This window comes from Homo sapiens, chromosome 1 (assembly GCF_000001405.40).
Source record: "Homo sapiens chromosome 1, GRCh38.p14 Primary Assembly".
NCBI classification, from domain to species: domain Eukaryota; kingdom Metazoa; phylum Chordata; class Mammalia; order Primates; family Hominidae; genus Homo; species Homo sapiens.
Window position 1 is genome coordinate 81,284,479 of NC_000001.11, and position 24,116 is coordinate 81,308,594.

The 24,116-nt window shown below is 37.5% G+C and overlaps 1 protein-coding gene and 1 long non-coding RNA gene across 9 annotated transcripts in view, besides 1 other annotated feature; one reads left to right on the top strand and one right to left on the bottom strand.

The window, feature by feature from the left end:
• LOC107985018 (uncharacterized) overlaps window positions 1-14,292 on the bottom strand; it is a 30,564-nt gene extending 16,272 nt beyond the window's left edge. The window contains exon 1 of the long non-coding RNA XR_001738115.2: window positions 14,125-14,292. This is a non-coding gene — a long non-coding RNA (uncharacterized LOC107985018). The remainder of the gene's footprint in view (window positions 1-14,124) is intronic.
• Window positions 14,293-21,653: 7,361 nt separating this feature from the next.
• ADGRL2 (adhesion G protein-coupled receptor L2) overlaps window positions 21,654-24,116 on the top strand; it is a 687,801-nt gene continuing 685,338 nt past the window's right edge. For all 8 annotated transcript variants that reach the window (XM_047416152.1, XM_047416118.1, XM_047416159.1 and 5 more), the window contains exon 1: window positions 21,654-22,031. The gene's annotated coding sequence lies outside the window, so the exon portion shown is untranslated. The remainder of the gene's footprint in view (window positions 22,032-24,116) is intronic.
• Window positions 21,831-22,423: an enhancer, noted in NCBI's record as "NANOG hESC enhancer chr1:81771994-81772586 (GRCh37/hg19 assembly coordinates)". NCBI's record gives its function as "activates a minimal SCP1, AML or CMV promoter by ChIP-STARR-seq in primed H9 embryonic stem cells {active_cell/tissue: H9 hESC(primed)}" and the evidence as "EXISTENCE:reporter gene assay evidence [ECO:0000049][PMID:30033119]".

Sequence of the window (24,116 nt, forward strand, 5' to 3'; positions counted from 1 at the left end):
GATTGGAAAAGATTTCCTAAAAGTGGTGATGTTTGAGATGGATCTTGAGACTGAATAGAACTCTGACAAAGAGAAATGACAGAAACATGTCCTGCAAAGAGAACATTAATAGGAGCCAGAGACTGAGGATCCTGGAACATGATTGGGTTAGTAATCCAGATCAGCTCTAGGTTATGGTATGTGGCTAATAATTAAAAATATTATGATAATAATATGATGCAAAATTATGTATATACTTCTGCTATTTTAAAAATATATGTATCAGGCTGGGTGCAGTGTCTCATGCCTGTAATCCCAACACTTTGGGAGGCCAACGTGGGAGGATCACTTGAGGTCAGGAGTTTGAGACCAGCCTGGCCAACACGGTGAAACCTCACCTCTCCTAAAAATACAAAAATTAGCTGGGTGTGGTGGCACACGCCTGTAATCCCAGCTACTCATGAGGCTGAGGCAGGAGAATAACTTGAACCTGGGAGGTGGAGGTTGCAGTGAACCAAGCTAACATGACTGCATTCCAGCCTGGGTGACAGAGTGACGCTGTCTCAAAAAATAAGTAAATATATATATACACACACACACACATTTATATACATATATATCCACACATATATATAGTGTGTTATATATATGTATATATATGTATGTGTGTGTGTGTGTATATATGTGTCCATATAAGTGTATATATATGTATATATATGTGTATGTGTGTGTGTGTGTGTATGTGTGTGTGTGTGTGTGTGTATATATATATATATACAGGCATGATAGCTCATCCCTGTAATCCCAGTAATTTGGTGGCAGAGACTGGGGATCACTTGAGCCCAGGAGTTCAAGACTAGCCTGTGCAACATAGCGAAAGCTTGTCTCTGCAAAAAATAAAAAATAAGTAAATTAGCTGAGCATGGTGGCACATGTCTGTGGTCACAGCTACTCAGGAGACTGAGATAGGAGGATCGCTTGAGCCCAGGAGGTCAAGGCTGTGGTTAGCTATGAACCCACCACTGCACTACAGCCAGGGCACAGAGTGAGACCCTATCTCAAAAAACAAAGAAGACAAATAAACAAACAAAACATATATATGAATCTCCTCAAAATGCTCCAAGGACTTTCCATTACATTCAGAATAAAACCAAAGACCTTTTCCACATGATCCCCATGACTGCCACTCTGACCTCAGTATCTATCACTCTTTCTGACAGCCACTTAATTACATCCATAGTAGCTTTCTTACTATACTTACTAAACCCACCAGAGCCCCACTTCAGGCCCTCTTTATTGGTGTTTCCTGGGCCAAGAAATTTCTTTTCGTAGATAGTTTCCTGGCTTGATCTCTCAGTACATTCCAGTACTAGTTCAAATGCTGTCTCCTCAAAAAATGACTTGCTTAGTCATCACATCTGAAAGAGCAGCCCCCTTTCCTCTCTCTCTTTTTATCCAGGCTTCTTTTCCTTCTTTTTATTTGTCTCCACCAGGTATTAAATTAACTATCAAGGTTATCAAAAACAAAGAACTTCTGAGAAACTGTCAGAGCCAAGCGTATTCTAAGGAGACACAAAGACTGGATGGAATGTGGTATCCTGGATAGAAAAAGACATTCAGTAAAAAATAATGAAAACTGAATAAACTACAAACTTTAATTCACAGTCATGTATCACAGTAAGATGTTAATAATAGGAAAAACTGGACGTAAGGAAATTCTCTGTACTGTCTTCATAGTTTTTCTGTAAAAATGAAACTAATCTGAAATTTAAAATTTACTTTAAAAAAATATGTATGTGTAGCTGCCTGTGGTGATTCACGCCTGTAATCCCAACTCTTTGGCAGGTTGAGGCAGGAGGATCACTTGAACACAGAAGTTCGAGACCATCCTGGGCAACAAAGTGAAATCCCATTTCTACAAAAAATTAAAATTAAAATTAAAATTAAAAAATAGCCAGGCATGGTGGCATGCGTATGTAGTCCCAGCTACGTGGGAGGCTGAGGCAGGAGGATTGCCTGAGCCTGGGAGGTCGAGGCTGCAGTGAGCCATGACAGCACCACTGCACTCCAGCCTGGGCAACAGAGTGAGACCCTGTCTCAAAAAATAAATAAATAAAATGAAGAATGGATTAAGAATGACAGAAACAGTGGTGGGAAGGCCAATTGGAGGATTAGGACAATGATACAAATTTCTTAAAAGTGAGACCTAAGCCAAGTAGTAGGCAAATAGAAAGACAGGTGCAAGAGATATTTTGATCTAGAAATATATGAGACTGAAAATTGATTTCAAGGCAGTGAGCAAGGAGGTATAAGTAGATTAAACTGAGGTTATGAATCTAGATGACTAGAAGAATGTTAATATCATCAATTAAAATGAGGAATAGTAATTCTTCTCTGAACTTCCTATACAGAGGTCCTCAATTTAGGATCAATCCACTATGACTTTACAATGAGTTTGCTGGGACATAATCCTGTTGTAAGTCAAGAAGCATCTGTATATTCACATATTTCATTTGGTTGTCATAAGTAGCAAATGATAAATAAATATAGAAAATCCTTTGAAAAAGTTAAAAATGCTCAACAAAATGTAAATTATTCTCAAATTTTTATTTATAAAATTTCTGAGTGCAAAGCTAGAACAGGAGGGTACACTATGGTGTCTCAGCGAATGCTTAGCTTTAGGACAGCATTATAAAAGTTTTCATTTTTTCATGTCTCAGGTGCAAAACTTTAATAATAATAAAAAAAAATTTCTTTAGAAAGTATACTGAGACCTCTGCTCTCCACATCAGTCTTGGGGTTATTAAATGATCATTATTACTATTAGTATCTAGCTGACACTAACATGCGTGCAATCTACAGAACAAATGAAAGGTATTATCCTGGAGCAAAGTAATTTTTTATGATCAATAGTCTATCATTAGTATAATGTTTATTTTATGCATTCACAGACTTTTTATCACCTCAATTGTGGTTTATAAATATTAACCTATTGATCTTTGCTGCTCTTCCATCTGCTACAGAAGTTTCTGATAAACATCATCACTTCCTTCTTTTTATAGGTGAAGGACAAGAAATAAAGGAAATCTCTAGTTATTTGATGACTGGACATGGTTGTAGAAAGATTCAGAATCCAAGGTTGTCTAACCACATAAATTCCTCAAGCTTCCCTAGAGGCTAACATTCTAGCCTACCCATAAAATCTGAACTGATATGTTTCCTTTTAAATTAAAATGTAGAATGAATACAATAACACCATATACATAATTTACCCAGCATTGTGACTTGTGACTTACATATGCTTTTTAAATTATCAAATAAAATACTGAAAATTCAGTACTTGGTTTGTTTCACAAAAATCTACTGCCATTTATTTTCTTTTCCGTTTTCTTTTTCAAGTTTTGGCAGCAGAAATTTGTTAAGCAAGAGTTCTTGAATTCTTCCCAAGAAATGTGTCTTTTCTTTCTTTTGGGAGTCCGTTACACCAAATACCAATATGATTTCATTTAGGTAGTGAAGATCAGCTCTTTGGACAACCAAAATAATATACCCATAAAAATTATAAAAGAATACATTTAAAGGAGTCTAAGAAATCCATTACTTTTCTTAAACTTTTTTTTTTACTCAGTTTATATAGGTTTCCTGATGGGAAGCTTTATTGAGTCCATTATATCTTTAATTCATTTTGCTAAAGTAAACTCGATACAAGACTGGGGCCTAGGATGAGCATTAGAGTTACATTTAATGAAAATTTAAAACACAAAAGCACTTCAATTATTCATCTTTCCTGATTTATGTGGAAAAATGGGTGCACATATGTGTGTTCCTTTGATAGGGTTCATATTAATAGTGAGCTTTTAAAAATATGGTCCTTAGTAACTTCAACAAATGTCCTTTTACCAGCTTATCTTGAGCAAAACAGAGACTTCCAAATCAAACTTCTATTTCATCTATTTCTTTCTTTATTACTGAAATGAATAAAGTAATTTTTCATGGAAACGTAAATGCTTATCAAAATTGGAAAGTAACAAGTGCAACAATAAAACCATTTGTTAGAAGCTTCATATGTTATTATATTTTATTATTACGACTGGAGTGATACATTTGTCTTTTCATAGGGAGTTACATGAACTTCTTAAGCTGCAAACCCAGACATAAGTCATGTGTGTGCAAGGCAAAGGAGCAAAAATTATGTCCAGTTAAATCCACAGGCATTTGTTTATGCAAAGAAGCTTTAGAAATGGAAACCAAGAGCCCCCATTTTCCCACTTGCAACACAGAAAAGACTCTCAGTAACAGGTTTGACAAATCCACATTTAGTTCCATATGGTCATTTATCCTCCCTATGTCTTTGAAAGTAAAATACTGTGAAGGCGGCATTTGAGTTTTTGGTGACAAATTACTTTTCTCAGTAGAGTCAAAGGCTGTGGCCATCTGCAATAAAATAGATGAGCCACAGCTGGCTTTCATAATAATCAATCCCGATTGTAGAAGGATCATGGCACTTCTGGATTGATTGTGAGGACCTGCCATGACAAACAATACTGACCAATTCAGTCATGTTGACAACCAGTTATTTCTCATATTTAGATACAGACTCTACCTCATATCATCAGAAGGAAGGAAGGGGAGAGTTGAAAATTATCCGATATATTTGGACAATAGTAGAAAACTCTGAAAATTCAGAAAATCCTTAAACTAGATTTGGAGATCTAAATCACTTACATATGTCAATACTGACTGAGACTACATCTATATTATATCAGTAAAACAGGAAATCTGTTTACTAGGAATTTTTATCATTGCCTCCTCTACCTACACATACATCCTAAAGGAAACTGCCTTTCCACAACTCCTGCTATGTGAACTGTGGACCACTTGATTCCAAATTTCCTCTTACGTTCCCCCAGGTGTAACTCTTTCTGCCAGGGATGGATACCTGATGAAAAGGCAGTCACTCCATGGACATGGTAGTGGCTTAGGACTTGTGGTGTAACCCCCAAAAACATCCTTCTTTGGGAATTTGGAATTGAGCAACTAAATTACTGAGTTAGTTAGCTATAGAGAACTAAGCCTAAAAGTTATATAATTTTCATGGCTGGGTAAGCCATTATAGACCAAACATGAGTGGCATAAAAGAAAAAACAACAATGGCTAACATATGGTGAATACTTACTCAACGTCAAACTATCCACTATGTATTTTAAATGTCATGTCATTAACAGTGTTGGTAGATACTGTTATTATTCAGATAAAATTGATGAAAAAAATCTGAAATTTGGAAAGATAAATTAAATTCCCCCCATCATATAGATGTGAAATGAAGACAGAACTGAAGCTCAATTCTGCTGGACTCCTCTTGACTACTTAGCTATAAAACTGGGAATCTATTGCGGGAATTGGAGGAGAGAGAAAAAGACAGAGAAGCAGATAGAAATAGAGATGACCTTGCCTCATCATGTATGCAGCCCTAAGCACATAGCCTTCTCTCCTTAAAGCTTCTGAGCTACAGTTCCCATAGGTCTAAATATTCAATAATCTCTGTCCTCGGGGTCTCATGAGCTCCCACAGTGTCTCCAGGTTGGTGTAGAGTACACAATACTGTCTGTGGTTAGAGCTATTGAGATAACTAAAGCAAAGGTAATATTTATCTTCATTTCTTCATGCATTTCTTTAAATGTTCTATAATTCACTTTGATTTCAGAGATTTGATGTTAGTATTGCGTTTTTCTGGGTATGGGATATATAAACATCTAGTAACTATGAGTAAATATGAAATTCATTTTTTTCAGCCAATTTCCTAATTTTAAATTTGTAAGGACCATCCAAGAAAAAAACAAAAAATATGTATTTATTTATTATTACTGGCCGTGATATTTGAATATGCGTGTGCTTCTTCCCTCTAGAATCACTTCATATTCTGAGATTAAAATCTGTTTCAAATAATTAAGTCGCTAATGGCTTCAGCCCATTATAATGCCTCAATCTCATAAACAAAACCCTGGATGGCAAAGCTGGCCCTCTGCCCCACTCTTCCAGCAGCTAGGTAAACAATTATTCAAAAAATGAGGTGTTGTGGGATTTATACCGGTATTAGTCCATTTTTGCACTGCTGATAAAGACATACCAGAGACTGGGCAATTTACAAAAGAAAGAGGTTTAATGGACTTACAGTTCAGTTCCACATGGGTGGGGAGGACTCACAATCATGGTGGAAGGTAAAAGGCACGTGTCACGTGGCAGCAAACAAGAGCATTTGTGCAGGGAGACTCCCATTTTTAAAACCATCAGATCTCATGAGACTTATTCACTATCATGAGAACGGCACAAGAAAGACCCGCCCCCATGATTCAATTACCTCCCACCAGGTTCCTCCCATGACACGTGGGAATTGTGAGAGTCACATTCAAGGTGAGGTTTGGGTGGGGACACAGCCAAACCATGTCAATACCCAACATTCTCTTCTAAAAACCCAAATAGAAGTGGAAAAGATGAAGAAGGCCTGGATGATTCAGATAGCCCCACATTTCTGAACAATGCTACTTTCTTATGTAGAAGTGACATTCAAAGGATAATAAAAATTCTATATTATCTTACAGCTTACATTATTTGTGCATTTCAGTGCCCTGATTTTCTTTGTCCTAGGCTTTGTGTAAAGCTGGCAGTTTAACTCCATTGCCAAGTTTGGCAAATTCAAACTTCAACTGTCCACAGTCCTGATTCTCCAGTGGCCCCATCCCTAGGCATGTGGCTCAGTCTGGACAGGGCCTCCATGTTGTTTGGGCATCCATCAGCATTGGTTTGTTCCATGTTCCAAAAGCAGACAGTAAAATCAGTTTTTTCTTTTTCAGAGAGTCAACTACTGCTATGTTTGGCAGTAGTTAACTGTTTAAGCAAAGCTAGGATACTGGAACAGCAATTTAAGATGTATAATGAGGCACAGAAATAGCTCCTTCGCATTTTCCATTACTTTCGTAATGCTTCACCAACATTCTCCCTAAAATTGTTTCTCTTTGTTTTTAAAGGGAGGTGTGAATAAAAGGTTATTTATTGCAAAAATATAAAGGCTTCTTTATTCTCTTTGATATTGTTCACAAATTCTGTGTCATTGCAGACAAATTGTTGAAAAGATATGCAGATAATCTTGTCTGAATTGCCTTAAACTCATTCCACTGTATTTTTCCCTTAGAATAATGCCCTCACTCTAATGGAATTTCAAATATATTAGCAGATATTGCCATTGATATTTCTTCATGTTAAATAACTATTACATCTATGTGTTGCATTTGTATAAATAAAATATATGAACACCATTACAATATATATACATTTATATTTCACAGGATTCTACTCATTTCTATGGGATATTTTTAAGGATTAATGATCTTTTTTGCATTTCTTTGAGTTGTGGGGCTTTTGCCATGCCATAAAAAAGGCCTACCTTTTTAATGTGATGCAAATATAATATATAAATTATGCATTTAATATATGTGCAGTGGATTATTAAGTATGACATTCTCTTTTCTTCTAGAGTTTTGTTCAGTGGCCCAAAGGCTAAGATTAGCAGATGCTAGAACATCTATGAAGGATATTTTAAAATGGTTTAGTGACTATACCTTGAGGGCAGATATAAGTAAGTCAAGAGATTTATAGGGAAAGGATTTCTTTGAAGATTGTTGCAGATGGGCCAAATGAAGGAAGCTCTCAATAGCTATCCAAAACACCTGGCATGTTTCTTCTCGAGATTGAGAACAGGCTTGAGGAAAAGTCTAAAAGGAAGAGGTTGGCTTAGCAGAGCAGGAAGAGTAGTAGTGCCTTCGGAGAGGGATGGCTGCTCTTCCACCGAAGGAGTGGGGGAAATGGATGGGTGTAGGGCAAGAATAAAGACATGTTCTTCTGGGCCAAGTAGACCCACAGAGGAAAGCTGGTCTTGAGTCAATTTAAGGACCTAAAGGGAAATCCAGAGAGAAAGTACCACTGTATGCAGAAGCTAATGAGGCATTTTAGGCATTCAGTCAGAGCTAAGGAATAACCCAGTAGGAAACCCTCAGATGGAGCATTTCTGAAGAATCTACAAAAGTTCTCTGTGAAATAGTTAATACGTGGGCATCTGCCACACCAAGAGGGCACCTCTTTCAGTTTACAGTGGCACCTGAAGAGCCAGGACAGAATGCTGCTGGGGAAGCAAACAAGAGGTAGAATGGTAAGACAGAGAAAGCATGAAGAAGCCAGCCATAACCCTTTCCACATTGCCATTGACTCAGCCGAGTCAGCCCCAAACTGGTGGTTCAGAAGAAGGTTTAAGATAGAGCAGTAAATGAAACTTTGAGAGCATGCTAAATTAGACTTTAAAACCTGGAAAATAATTGTGTTATTTAAAGAGAGTGACCTGGAATATAAGGAGATATATCCAAGAGTTTGTACAGTGGGAGGGAAAAGCAATTCAAAAGAGGCTATTTAAAAGAAAATTGAGGAAAAGAATAAAATTGTGACTTAAAACCCCACAATGTCCATCTTTTTCAGTGTAACATACATTGAAATATCTAATCAGGAAAAAAACCAAGGTACACTGGTAAAATACACACACACAAACACGAACTCATATTTAAGAAAATGTGGCTATGGAAATAATACTGTATATTCACTTCAAATGTTTTCAGAAATATAAAATGTCTGATTGTGATAAATATAATAAAAATAATACAGAGTAACAGAGCTTGAGAGTGATGAAGGCATATTGCTATCAGGGACAGCGTCTATAACAAGGCACCATTTTGGTAGACACTTGGCAAAACTGATGGAATGTATGTTCAGTTTGGAGGAAGATTATTCCAGGCAGAGGATGCAAGAAGCAGAGAAGCCTGAGACCAGGACATGTTGATTGCATTCAAGAAGCAGTGAGGAGGCCAAGGGGCTGGAATGGCTTGAAGCCGAAAAGGGTAGTAAGAGGTATGATCAGAGAAGTGCCAGTCCAAGTAGGGCCTCCAAGGCAATGGAAGAGCCTTACATTCTACTCTGGGAGATACGGGAGGGCACTGAAGGGTTGTAAGCAGAAGAGTAGCATGACCTAAAGTATATGCCTAAAGGCTCACTCTCTCATGTTTTTTATTTGTTTGTTTTGTTGTGTTTTAATTACTGTGTCTATTTTCGGTTCGAGCAGGGCAGGCATGCACTTTGCAGTTGGCCATGGTTCACTATGCTGGCTCCATTGTCTGATACCAGGCCTGCTTCACTCTTGCACTTTGCTTTCTTGGCTTCTGATGGCACTTGAATTTACAAATTTTTATTCCAGGCTCTTACAGTTTCTGTCTCTTGCCACACAACAGGAAAACCCTCTTAAAATATAAGCTCAAGCTGCCACCTTCACATTTCCTTTTTTCTTTTGATGCACAGGTCTTCCTGGACATTGCCTTGTTCACGTTCTGAATTATGAAGCAGTTCTAAAACTTCCAAGTTTTCTGGGGCTTACTATACCTTTCAAAATAGGTTAGACCTAAGAAACTAGATGCTGCAGAGTTCTTGAGCTTGTTGCCAACTAAAGACCACATTGGTTGTGAAGATCTTTTTAATTTCTCCTGAAGAAGAGCCAGGCTGTACTGGAAGAGTACTCATGGCTAGGCCAGATCAACCCTAGAGAATGAGGAGCCCAGCCACAACATGTCATAAAATGTACTCTTTGGCTCCAAAGTGTATTGTTATAGAAATAGAATCAGTTGAAAATTCACTTCCAAGACAGACTTGAAGAGGGAAAGAAATCTCTGAGGAGCAGCCTAAATATGTTTAGAAGTGGAAAGAAAATAGCATCTCTTTGTTCTATTAATAGTGGCATTGTGAGGGTTAAGTTACAAGTGGGAGAAAAGGACATTGGGTTTCTTTTCCTTATAACATCTCCTCCCTTCAGTTGCCCCCTTGAGTACCAAGCATGGCGGGAGAGTTTAAAACTATCACTACCAAACACAAGACCTACTACATACCCCCATTTAACACTGCACAGAAGATCAAGTATGTCATATCTGGGCAGATAATTTACTCTCTTAAGGAATTCCCAGCCCCCAATCAACAGTACTCCAGAATTGAGCTCAGAGACTATAACACTCCCCAAGCACATTTAATTATTATTTGCTCTGTTTAATATGCATTACCAGTTAGATTTATTAAACATGTACTATGTGTCAAGCACTTTGGGCCCTGAGTATTAGGCCTTGAGTATAATGAGATTAATAAGAACTATTTTGTCCTTGATGAATGCACTTTCCAGTAGAGTAGACAAAACTATAAATAGATAAATGGTGTTGTCATCTATTAAGTGTTATTACTGAGGTAAAAACAAAGTGTGAATACACAGGGGACACTATCATGTAGAAGGGAGAGGGTCATATGCAGAACTGAGCATCTTGCTTTTTGTCACTTTACATTTTAACTTGTACTAGAATCCAGAAGAAAATTGTATGTATAACAAATCACATAAGTTTATAAAGGTAAGATGGTAGAAGGGCTTCAATAACAATTTTAAGACCTTGAACTGCATGCTGTAGCAGTGGGAATCCACTGAGTGTGTTTAAGCAGGGAGGGTACTTCATTATAACCACATTTCTTCATTTATATTGCTAGGCCAGGCTGCTCTAAGCACCTGATTCCCATATCCAACCACTTACGTTCCTTACATCTCCCCTTGGAGGTACCATGAGTCTCACAAGCATAACGTGTACAAAATTTCTCATTTCCTTCCAATCTAGTTCTTCGCCTATCCTTTCCCATCTCTGAAAGTTATATCATTTACCCATTGCTAAAGCCAGAAACTTAGAAGTCATTCTTGAGTCTTTCTTTTTCCTCATGGCCCATCACCATGTCCTTTTATTTTTCTACCTTCTACCACTCCTGTTTGTTTCCCTTACTACCCCGCTTTGTACTCCATCTTTCTGATGGTGGTGACCTCCTCGTTGGTTTCCCCACTCTCACTAGTGCCTCGGTCCAGGCCATCCTCCACAATAGCTGAGAGCAATCTAAAAACGGAAACGCGACAAAGTTGTGGCACCCTACACCTGCCCCATCCTGGAGCAATATGCAAACCCCTCTACAGTCTTTATATTCTATTTAGAACAAAGGTCAGAATCTTTACTGTGCCTCTGGATGCTTGAGTGCTCCCACAGTCTTGCCTCTCCAACTACACTTCCTGCCATTTCCTTCCTCCCTCTCTAAGTTCCAACCTCAACCCTCTTTTTGTTCCTAAGTATGCCAAATATTTTCCCATACCAAGGATCACACATGATGTTTCCCCTTCCTGCAATGTTCTCTTCCTCATACCTCATACGGTGACTTTTTCTTACTCTTCTGTTTTCTGCTTAAATCTTAAATCTTCCTTGGCCACTCTCTGTATGCTCTCCAGCCCCCAACTCATTTATATCAGAGTACTCAAGTTGAATTCATCATAAAACATATTGCAGACTATAATTAAATAGATGGTAATGATAGATAGATGATAGATAGATAGATAGATGATAGATAGATAGATACATACGTAGATACATAGATATGCAGACAGATGGCTGTTTTCCATTTTAATGCCTGCATCCCCTATTAGACCATTTCACTGCAACCTCCCTGGTGTTTGTTTTGTCCATTGTATTTTCAAAATCAAAGTGCTCAATACAGTTTTATTGAATGATGTATACTTTTCTCTTTTTGTCACAACATTTCCTTGAAATTATGTAACAAATTTGCATATATTTCCAAGTCATTTTACTTAAAAGTCTAAAATCCTCCTGCCCAGACCACTTTCTACTAGGTGAGAAAAGCGTGGAAGAGACATTTCAACCACTTTTTTTCACTACAAAGCACTAAGAGAACAATACTGCAGGAAATTTTTTAATGCTATAATGTGTTTTTTAATTCTCATTGAATTCCTCATATTCTCATGTATGACCAATTTCCAGATTTACTGAAATTTTTATTTAAATGCTTATCCATTTATTACATTTTGTCATCAAACTGAAGCATATAGTTAAGTCTGCTTTTCTGTAGTATGTGTCTTGAGAAAATAAAAAAAAAAATTCACTTGAACTTTGTTTTAATACATAAACTAGTGTAGGTAACTTTTATTGCAAGTACACATAAACATTTTATGTTATTTCACTCCCAGCTTCTAGCCAAAACATTAAAAAAAAAAAAAAAGGCGGTGGGGGGTGGGGGGTTTCTTGCAATCTTTGCAGAATTCCAAGCCTTAGTCAAAAAAGAAAGTCCCAAGAATCTTTTCAGAAATCCTGTTTGGGCACTATTCCCAGCATAATTTTGCAAACCAAGATGTTTGGGCAGTGCTGGTATGCCAGGGATAAGAAGTTGAGGATTTTTATCTGAATCTAACCCAAACTCCAGCCCTAATTAAAATACCACAACATTGTAAACTCCTTTACTATGTTAGACTTTAGTTGAACTAATTCCACTTCTGGAATACAGCTTCTCATTTATGTTCCTGCTGATTGCTTATAATTTTATTTCAGCTCTCCTCTTGCTTTTCAAAGGATAGAAGTATTGTCCCAGTTTTTGTTGCTATGCAGACATCTCTGAAGTTGCATACTAAAGCCAAATAGCCTGGATATGGTGACAGGAGCTTCTGAAGCTTTCTGTTTTATCCATTTTCCTTTTCTGATGACTGAGCATGGTGCAAAAGATGCCTTATAATGCTTTATTTATATAGTCTCATCTATTTTGGAGAAATAAGTACATATATATGCATATTATCTATCTATCTATCTATCATCTATCTATCTACCTATATACTCATTTTAATTGCCAAATACATTTGATGTTGGGCTTTTAGTCCCCTATACAGAAAGCATGAACTGTAAAGGTTAGTACAAACTCTGTGTGTTTATACTCCACACATATATGTAATGGAGGCTTAGAAGCTATCAATCTCTAAGCATATGCCCTACATTCTTTGAAATCCCATCAAAGAAAATCAGCAAAGGACACAGGTTCTCTGTCCCTCATCCCAAGACCACTTTACATGCGTATCCACCTTTTCATCCTTTTCCCTTCGAACCTTCTAAAAAGCCCCTAAATTTCAAGTTGCATTACCTGTTGCTAGGGCTGCTGCTATTCCCTCATTACTATTTCACTCAGAGTTCTAGAGCCTAGCATGAAGTCAAATGTAAAGTGACAAGTTAAAACCAAGGGGCTTCAAAGTACAAATTGTATATGATCCTCTTGCCATAACAGAATAGTGACATTGTCCTGTAAAATTAGAACATCTGTGCTCTTTTACTCCAGAGAATTAGCAGCATGAGTTCGATTCAGTCGTTAACAGGAATTCTAGAGAGATTTGGAACTGTTTCTCAGAAGAAGTAGAGAAAGTCAACAGTTTCCAGATTCTCCATATAAATAATTTCCTTACATTGTAAACATATTATTTATTAAAATGAACAGTTATTCACTGGGCATCTATCCTAAATACTGCACATAAAGCAGTGAGGAAAAGTCAAAGATATCTCTCTCATGGAGCTCAGATTTTAGTTTGGAAGACACTAAACAAACAAATGAATAAATAGAACATATATGGGGTCAAAGATGATGAGGTTTGTAGAGAGAAGTAAGGCAGAGAAGATGGAGAGGACTGGGCAAAGGATGGAAATTAGTGGGCAATGGATGGAATTTTAATAGGGTGTTCAGGGAGGTCTTCACTACATGAAAGACATTTTTGGGGAAAATTCTGAAAGAGTCAGACAAGTAGAATATCCAAGGGAAGACCATGCTAGGCAGAAGGAACAATAAATACAAAGGCTCTGAGAAGGCAGTATACTTTGTGTGATGGAGGAACAGTAAGATCAGAGAGGCTCACATGCTGAGAGTAGGGAGAGGGCGCCATATGGTACCAGAGAGGTCAGATGTAGGGGCAGGGAGTCCAGGCATGGCCTTGTGAACCAATGTTAGGACTTCAGCGGTTATATTTTACTCTGAAAGAGATAAGAAAGCTTTGGAAGATGTGTTAGTTTCCTGGGGCTGCCATAACAGATTCTTATAAACTAAGTAGCTTAAAACCACAGAAATGTATTCTCCCATAGTTCTTCTGGAGGGCAGAAGTCCAAACTCACAGTGTTAGTAGATCCTTGCTCCCTCCGAGGGCTCTAAGGGAGAATTCCTCCTTACCTCAATTGTCTTCCCATGGCTCCAGGCATTTCTTGGCTTGGGACTATGTCACTCCAATATATTTGCCTCTGTGTTCTGGTGGCCTTCTCCTCAGTGTCACTGCATCCTCTCCTTCTGTATCTTATAAGGACACTTGTCACTGGATTTAGAGCCCATCTGTATAATACAAGATGATCTCATATTAAGATCCTTAATTACATCTTCAAAGATTTTTTTTTTTTTCAAATAAGGTCACATTCACAGATTCCAGGGGTTAGAATATGAACATACCTTCTGGGGTGGTAGGGACAATTCATCTCACTACAGAGGGTTTTCAGCAGAGGAATGACAACATCTAACTTGTGGTTTAGCTGACTTTTTCTAGTTTCTGTGGTGGATGTAGAATACAGGGAAGCAGGAAGTCTTTCCTATCTCAGAGACCATAGGACATAAGGAGCTAATTCAGGTGAGTATGTGTTCTGTATCTGAAGAATAGTAGTGGGGATGGTGAAAAATGGCTGGATCCTAGATATATTTGTAGGTAAAAATGACAGAATTTGCAGAGGATTTTATGTGAGAAGTAAAAGTAGAATCAAGGGCAATTTCAAGGTGTTTGACTTGAATATCTGCAGTTATTTCTGATGTATATGGTAGGAATACCTTCTTTCCTATAAAGCTTTTACATCACTGAGGTCAAGGTCATTAGCTAGCTGCCACTCTGGCTCCATCCATCTCAGGTTGAATGTCATTTCCTTCTGGTAAACTTCCCTGACATCAATAGATTGGATTAACATATCTCTGTGCTCTGTGCCCTGAGTTTATTCCTATCATAGCTCTTTTTGTCATTTGTGTTAGTCTGCTTTTGTCGAAGCCCCCAAAAGTTAGTGACTTAAAACCAAACCAAACCAGAAAATAAAAAAACAAAAAACATGTATTTAGTTCATGATTTTGCAGATTGATGACAGGTTTTGACTGGCCACTAGGCTAGACAAGCTCACGCATCTGCAATTTGCTAGGGGGTCAGCAGGAACTGAATAATTTATGATGCCCTAACCTGAGATTTCTGAGATGACTGGGGTCTTTCACCATATTGTCTCTCATCCTCCACAGGCTGGCCTGGGATTGTTTACGTAGCAGCCAAAGCATTCCAAGGGAGTGAGCAGAGGCTACAAGATCCCTGGAAGACAGGTACAGTTTAACTTCTGTCAACTTCTTTTGGTCAAAGTAAGTCACAAAACCAGTCCAGAATCAAGAGATGAGAAAATAGACTCCACTCATCTATAGAAGTTACCAATTATTGTTGCAGGTTTTGCAATCTAGGATATCATTTAATATAGTTACTTATTCCTTGCTAGCTAATAAACCCCACAAGGAAAGGAAACAAGTCTCTCTGTTCACCACTGTATCCCTAGACAGTAGACATTGAATACATATTTACTAAAGAAATAAATGAATGAAAGAATGACTGAAAGAATTGATTGGAAGAGAAATGAAAATACAGCTCAGTCAGCAAATGCCATGATCTCTTGGTCTTCCTCCATTCTCTTAACATACGCATCAGAATCCTTATACACTTAGTATCTGTAACCTGTATTTGCATGTGGGGCAAACTATTGCTTCGAATCAAAGATCAGAATTAGGATGGGTGCATGCAAGAAATTGTCAAAATAAGCATTATTTTTTAAATTTTTTAAACATTATAAATATTTGGGATAACTTTTTAAGGGTGTTGGATTCTTACTTACTTAACCTGGAACAACAAATTATTGCGGTTTTCCTTGGAATAGTTGTATCTGTATACACAAGTTAATAATATACTTACTTCTTGAGTGATAGCAGGTATTATGTAGACCCATTTTTTTAGGGTTCAGAGTTCAGGTAGATACCTTCTTTTTTTTTTTTTTTTTTTTTTTTTGAGACGGAGTCTCGCTCTGTCGCCCAGGCTGGAGTGCAGTGGCGCGATCTCGGCTCACTGCAAGCTCCGCCTCCCGGGTTCACGCCATTCTCCTGCCTCAGCCTCCCGAGTAGCTGGGACTACAGGCGCCCGCCACTACGCCCGGCTAATTTTTTTGTATTTTTAGTAGAGACGGGGTTTCACCTTGTTAGCCAGGATGGTCTCGATCTCCTGACCTCGTGATCCGCCCGCCTCGGCCTCCCAAAGTGCTGGGATTACAGGCGTGAGCCACCGCGCCCGGCCAAGGTAGATACCTTCTTCGCATAAGTCAGTTGGCTTTCTTGCTTTCTTTAGGAATGTCTTGCAGGCGCCAAAGTTTTTCAAAAGGATTCTTTTCCTCCTTATTGATGTTCATCTTAGAATCTAAAATGCAAAGGATTCTATAATAGTGATATGCCTTTATTGTTAAGCAATGTCATTGTCTGAGAAACAGGTAGTGTTTTACAAATGGAATACAACGGCAAGTTTTTATCCTTTTTGCAATGGAAACATATAAGTACCTTGGTAGTAGAGCTAGGAATTGAATTTAAAATCCCAGTGCCCAATCATTTTCACTAACGACTTCATTCCTAAAGCTTCATCCATTTTTCTCTGTCACTCTTTATATCACAAATAATTCACACTACCTACCAGCAAGATCCTTTTAGATTCTCTTACATCTTTCAAACCCTCCTTAATGTGAACTTCTTTCAGCACTGAGCCTGAATGTCTTCCAGAGCCTTATTGATCTAAGTACATCAACCTGTTGTTTGTGCTGCCTGTCTGTCTGTTGCAGTTAGTCTAATAAGTCTGTTGGGCTATTCAATTCTGTGTTTGGTAGAGTGCTTATGTTTTGTACTCAGTACACCAGAGGTGTGGAAACAAAGCAGTAATCTGAGAACCAATTCAGTGGGAGCAAGTCCTGGAGAACCTTTACCTCTGCAAAGAATATTTTTCCAAAAATAAGAATATCTGGGAAGTAGAAATGGCTGTGGAGCTGTCTAGGAGTCCTATGGATACATGAGAGCCAGACCAGTTCTGTGAACATTGAAGTGAAGGAATGAGAAAAAAGGGTTGGTTCTGCATCACGTAAAAATTGTTAATTGTTAGGAACTTGTGTCTGCTGGGAAACAAACACTGAGAGGGAACAGGGATGTAAGAGTCTTAAGAGTTTGATCAGGGACCCAAACCTCTGAAAATCAAAAGAGGAAAAAGTCGGGGTTGAGCAGGTAAGCCTCAGACCACAGTGAAAATCTGACAGTCTTGACCAACCCAAAGGGAACTAGGAATAAAAGCTGCCCATGAGAGGAATCCTGCACTGGGCGGAAAGAGACAGGCCTAAAGAAACCCACTAAGCTTGGTCATTCTCTAAGAACTACCTGATAAGGTGAATTCTGAAGGTGGAGTCTGTTAGCTAACTTCATTCCTTGCCGCAGAACCACAAGGTTTTTATTGAAGGGAAACTCAAATAGCATACCTCCCTGGCTACTATGGAACATTAAATAGTTTTTAAATCTTTGGGAAAAGAGTGGAATGTTGAATGAAACCACTCTTTCAACCTCCATTGTAGCCAGTGGGGGTGAGGAGGGAGGGCTACAATCGAAAGATAATTTAAAATAATCCTAATATAGTCAGTCATTCTGTTAATCAGCATAATTTTTTAATCATTTGTGGTTTAGGTGCCCTTTCTGGAGGTTTTACTTGTCATTGTGTTTATGGGAAATTGACAGTTATTAATTGTTTTTAAGCTTGAACCAGTCCTTATTAGAATTCAAATGTATTTCCCACTACTGGGTCCAATATCTATGTAATCATTTATCTTATAGTGAATTTTACTGTAAGCGTAATATTTACAAGAAGCAATTTGTCATTCCTGGGTTAAGTATAGAAACTTCAATATTTTCTGGATAAATATGTCAAAAAAACTAAAATTCAAGCAATAGAAGAGAATGGGAAGCTTATAGTGTCTTATATTAGACTTGGGAGGTTTGCTATTTGGTTTGACTCGATTATCATTATTGTTTTATAAATATAATTTTCTAATTATTACCCATCATTAACATTAATGGCATTAATGCTGGTAATCCATCTCCCTAAGGATTTCAAAGTGCGATATTTTTTCTAAGCTAAATGATTTCCAGGACTCCAGCAGCAATTCCCACCTTGATTTGCTGCACCCGAAGTCTCCAAATACAATTAATTTTAATTCATATAAGAATATACCCATTTTGGGTTAGGAAATGGGGTGGCAGATACTCACAAACAATTTTGGAACATTTCCACTCCCTAAATATTTAGATCTCTAATCTAATTGGCACTATATCCCCCTTTTTGTCACGGTAGACAGCACTCCTTGTCATTTAAACTTTTCTCTATGTGTGTGTTCCCAGGTCTGGGGAGCCTGGAAGAACGCATGTGCAAGCAGAAGGCTGAGGCCCAGGAGGTACAAATGACCCATCATGCTTATGCCCAGTGTTTCTCCTTTCTGTGACCTGCTCCCCAGTCGTGCCCTAACATTCCAGTTGGTCTGTCTCCAGTTCCCACTGATCCTCTACTCTATGCTCTGAGCATATGCCACTGATTGCCCCGGCTCGTGGCGCTCTCTCCTGCTGTCCTGCCCTCCGTCCTCGTGTTCATTCACCCCGGCCTTCTCCTCCTGCATCCCTTACTTGCCCAAACAGCTCCTACTCTGTCGTCAAGAGTCACATGAAGCATCATCTAGTCTACAGAGAACTCCTTAATTACCCCCAACTGTGTTTTGCCTTCTTTACTTTCTTTCCTCTGAATGTTTTTTCTTTGTACAGTTGTCCAATATTAGTATCAATCTGTTTACCTACCTGTTTCCATCACTTCCGCTAAAAACTGAAGGCAAGGACGATACATTTTCATATATATACCCTAGGTTCTTGTGACAAAACACTGCGTTTTTATTGAATAAATGAATGAATGAATCCCTCCTCATCATTCTGGTGAACCAGGAGGCCAGCACCTCCACAGTCACTCTCTGAGTTGCTGCTGCAAGGTCCCTCCCACACTAGCAGCACAGGTAGGGCGCCATCCTCATTACCCCCACACAGCGCCACATACGCCAAAGGAGCTTTCTCTCTACCTTAACTGAAATCTGACCTTTCCTTGGCATGCTTATCTTCAACCAGTTACTAGAAAAAAGTATCTCTGATACAATAATTAAAACTACTGTGAATTCATGTGTCACTCTAAGTGTAAATTGTTCACGTGTTAATTTTGCCAGTAGTGAGTGAATTGAAAAAGAGACTGGGAAGCCAGTAAAACATAGAAATGAACCCCTAATGGTGGCATTTCAGGAAATAGGAGAAGACAGATGGGAAGATATTTCTGGACCAGAGTGCTTCTGGGTGCCCTTCACATTGTACCACACAAGCCATTTCCATTCCTGTACAGAAGGTTGGATCTGCTGCTACAACACTCTCTGGCTCTCCTGAGAACAGTATTTCTATTTTTGTCTTTTATAAAAAGGTAAAAGCACCCTTCTTTCTGGTTGTCAGGGAACAGGAAGGAGCCCCCTCTCATACAATGACCAGAAAAAGCCAATAACAAACTCATCTTTTTTCTACATTCAGTAGACACCATAGTAACACTTCCCAGTTTACAGATAGGCAATGAAGTTCAATGGAAACAGATTTTTAATAATTATAATTATACCTTACACTGATTAAGTGTTTACCCAGGTGCTATGCTAATCCTTTTCCTTTATTTCTTACACCAACCATAAAAGTAAGGTTATTTTATTATCCACATTTTATAAGAAAGTTAGCTAACTTGCCCATGGTCAGACAGATAAATGTCTGAGTCACAAAACTGGTGTCCAGAAAGTTATGACTCAGACCCCTAAATATGCCATCTGGAAGGCATCCCTGGTTTCAATAAGGGGCACCTAATTGTGGTTACATGTCAATATACAATCTAGCACTACTGGTACTATTATCACTCTTCTTTATATGACAAGACATTTATATTTACCTTTCCTTTTCTATTCATGAGAGTACAGAATACATCATAATTTCTGCATCCAATTTTTATATTAAATGACTGGTAAAGGAAATATAAACACTTTGCTGTGATTTTCAATATTTTTTCTGCAAAAATTTATGAAACATCTACAATATGTAAAAGACATTTTCAAAATATTTGGGGAGATATTTTAGAGGAAATCGTATGGTCCCTGATTCAAAAGAGTTTACAACCTGAAAAGTAATATTAACACCTCAGTAACATTACAAGTCCAACCTGTGTACAAGCTGTGTCCAAATAGAAAAAAACCTGAGAAGTCACCCAACCACTTAGAGAGCAATCAGACTATTGGATGTCAGAGACATAAAATAACTATTGTCTTCACCCTTTTACTTTCAGGCAATTGTCTCCTAAACACTGTTATAGTCACTAAGTCTGCATACTTTAGAAACTCCAGATCGTCACTAAATCTCATGGAAATGTGTATTGGCATTTTCCTTGAGATTTCTTTTAAAGTATCACTTCTGTCCATCAAGTCAGAGTCCTTATAAGTGTAGTGTGTTTAAATTCTTTATCTTTCCTGACAGTCTATAGAGTCCCAATAGCAGCAAAAATCTAACTGAACTCCCTACTACTCCCTGCAAATATGCTCATATGTTTATGTTGAGAGTTTTAATGCCATTTGTTGAAATATATTTAACCTATATCACTTGGTTCACACCAAGTTAATGCTAGCTCCTACAAGGCTATGATCAATTCAGTCAACTAGTTGGTTTGACTGATTTTTCCTTTGAATTCACCTAATTGCTGGGCTGTTTAAGTATCTGCAGATACCTTTACACAAAAGAAGGCAGGCTTCACATTAGCTTGCTAAAAGAGGGTTATTATTTTCTTCTGAGATCTGCTATGGACTTATTGAGTGGCTGTTGGCAAGAGTAATGATCATATTTGCCCTCTCCTCTTTCTCATTTTTAAAACAAGAATATGAATATAAAACAACCCAGAAAAACTCCAAAGATGCTAAATGAATAAGTTAATAATCATTGTTTATTTAAAGATACAACTGTATTGTACAAAGAGAGGGATTTCTTTTACCCTGAAATGCCAATAAGAAGCCATATGAAAAACAAAAATAACAATTTAAAGAGATTTTTAAAAAGCTCCCATTCAGTAGTACAATTGGGTTCTTTTCAGATAATTAATCATTAAGAAATATTTAAGTACTATTTTCTATTTACATTGCAGTATATATCACTGGCTCTTTGAAAGTTAACAGGGATTAATTTTCTTTCAAAATAAATATTCCACTTAACTAATTGTCTGTGTTCTTTCACTGCTGTCTACGCCATTCAAGCCAAAACACCGATCTCATTCAAAACTCAGAATTTCATCCAAATTTGTGTACCTGGCCACTAATAAAAGATTTTTGGTATGCTGTCTAAAATCCTAATGACAAAATAGGGAGAATCATAAAATGTTCATAAAAATCGGATGGGATCAAACATCAGCTAATCTGAGTATATTTTTCTCTATGATTAACCAGTTCTTAATGACAACATTTCTTATCTTACAACTGTGACATGAAGAGGGAGCTGTAGCTCTTCTGAGACACAGTTCTGCAAGAACCAGCTTATCCACGCTCTCCGATCTCGTGTCTGTTTCTCTTTCTCTCTCCCTCTCTTGCGCTGTCCCTCATTCATGCACTCTTCCATCTTTTTGCCATTGTGCCAGCTCAATTTAAATGTATCTGCTCTGTATCTGTTCAAGTGGAGATAATCCATGCAAATCAGGAGCCGTGGCTCTCAATGCCTGGTTCACAGAGAGGACTCAGCTTGAGGAGGTCACTCGTTCACAGCCGCTCCTCCCATTATATTTTTCCCCTTATTGCAGAACTGCTGTATGTATACAGTGACTGAAAGGACTCAATTTACTGCAACTGCTGCCTGGCTTTACTTACAACTTTTTTTTTTTTATAAAGGAACTTACCTCCATCTGTCTTTTCAAGGTAGGAAGTCTGATTCTTCTAAAGACGTGTGTAATGCCTCCACTGTCTGCTCATTATCAAATGTCACTTGAATGCTTTATATTGTTGCTGGCATTAGGTACAAATACTGTGATTCCAGGTGCCTCACGCTTTTGTTACTTAACCATATAGGTACAATTGTTTAAGTGCTGGGTATTATAATGTTTATTTTCCCTGCAGCAAGCTTCAGTTTTACAATGCCAGAAAGATTAGAGTATCCACTCTCTAATGTAGAAATATAATCCTCTATCAAGTTTTCCCTCTTAGAAAAACATTAATTTCTCAGTATGTTTTAACTTATTATGTATGCTGGCCAATAATAGCCAAGTGTAAAATTCAACCGTAACAAATTTTTTTTTTAACCTGGAGCCCTCCTGCAGCATTTTCTGTGAAAAATAACTAACTGTTGAAATGTTTTTAACAACAGCAACAAAATAATAGATTTTACTTTATTTTGCTGCAAAGCAAAAAGCTGAAGGCCTTATTGCTAACAGGCCTGTCAGATAGATTTATTCTTCACCATTTTAAAATTGTTACTAGGCTATGCAGAAGTATTACAAATAGTTAGGATTCAGTTACTGTCATTATCCATGTGATTATTTATTGTTTTGAGATTGAAATTGTATTACAGAAAAGTTTAATGTAGCAAGGCTTTAAAAAACCTGAATGTTTGTATAACACTGTTTGAGATCAATTTTTGAGAATGATTTCAATAGCCAAATGATTAGGTTTGGATTAAAAATGCATGTAAGAGTCTAGCAGATTTGACAATACACATGGTGATTTATGTAAGCAATTCCTGGGCTTACGTTACTTCATATGTGTCTCCTTGAAGTTACTTATAATATTTTAATCACTCCTTAGTCATATCAATTTTAAAACATACTGAAATGTCATAACATTATAGACTTTAAAATCTCTTTTTGACTAGTACAAATATAATTAGAACATTCCAGTTACAATTTAGATTTCAATAAATGCAATATGTCTTTGAAAGTACTCCTTATTAATATAATTTTGCATTTATTACCTTATTTTTCTAAGAAGGATTTGACATGTGGCTATGACAAGGCTAGTTAATCTCTTATATAAGATAGAATTGAACATAAGCAGTAAACAAAGTTGACAGTCCTGAAAAGAAGAAAAAATTATCCTCTGGTATACTGAATAGTTCTGATGACATAAATCTTACATTTCATCTTCTAGGTAGATACTTGTAGTTAGTGAAGTTCGAAGGAAAAAAAATTTATTATCCACATAAAATATCTCAATGCCAAAAATGTGCAGTTCTTTTTCTTTTTGATAGAGTCTTCTATTGTAAAAAAAAATGCGCCTTGATTTTTGAGTACAGTACAAGGCATGAAGCCCTGTCATTGTTAGCATAAAGAAGACATCTACACAAGTATTACTGTGCAGAGGGCAATCTTTCTGTCTCTGGCATTTGTTAGGTTACTGCACGTAGAATTTAACAGATAAATATGTTCTGCTTCGTGGCATTTTAGTGATCCTACTGGTATGCAAGCTACTCGGCTAGGATAGCAACCGAAAAAAAAAAGGTATATGTTTTATAGCAGTGGGTAATAAAAGACCTTCACAGTGAGAGAAGAGGAATTTGACTTATTTATTACACAGTAATTAGAATTTCTTTAAAATTCTTTGAAATGCCGAGTTGTAAAGTAAACTGAGGCTTTCCAGGAAGGGCTAATTGAATTTATCTATTTGAGCCATGTAGTTGTCCGTGAATATCTTCTTCACAGACACTGTCGCTGGAGAATTCCATTCACACCTTCAGCATTACAGGGAAAGAAAAGGATTTGTCACTAACAGTAAAGGATGACAATTTCATATTTAAAACGAGTTTGAGAACAGCACCCTACACAGGAAAACCTTAACAGATGGAAAGGTGCGTGGGATTGCCTGATTATGTGAACTTGAGACTAGTGTGAAACTAAAGGATGCCCTTTCAGAACAAAGGAACGCCATGTAATACTCTGTCAGCAGTCAAGCTGAGGATAGATATAAAAAGTGGCCAAGGAGATCTTTTGGGGACAGAGAAAATGCAAACAA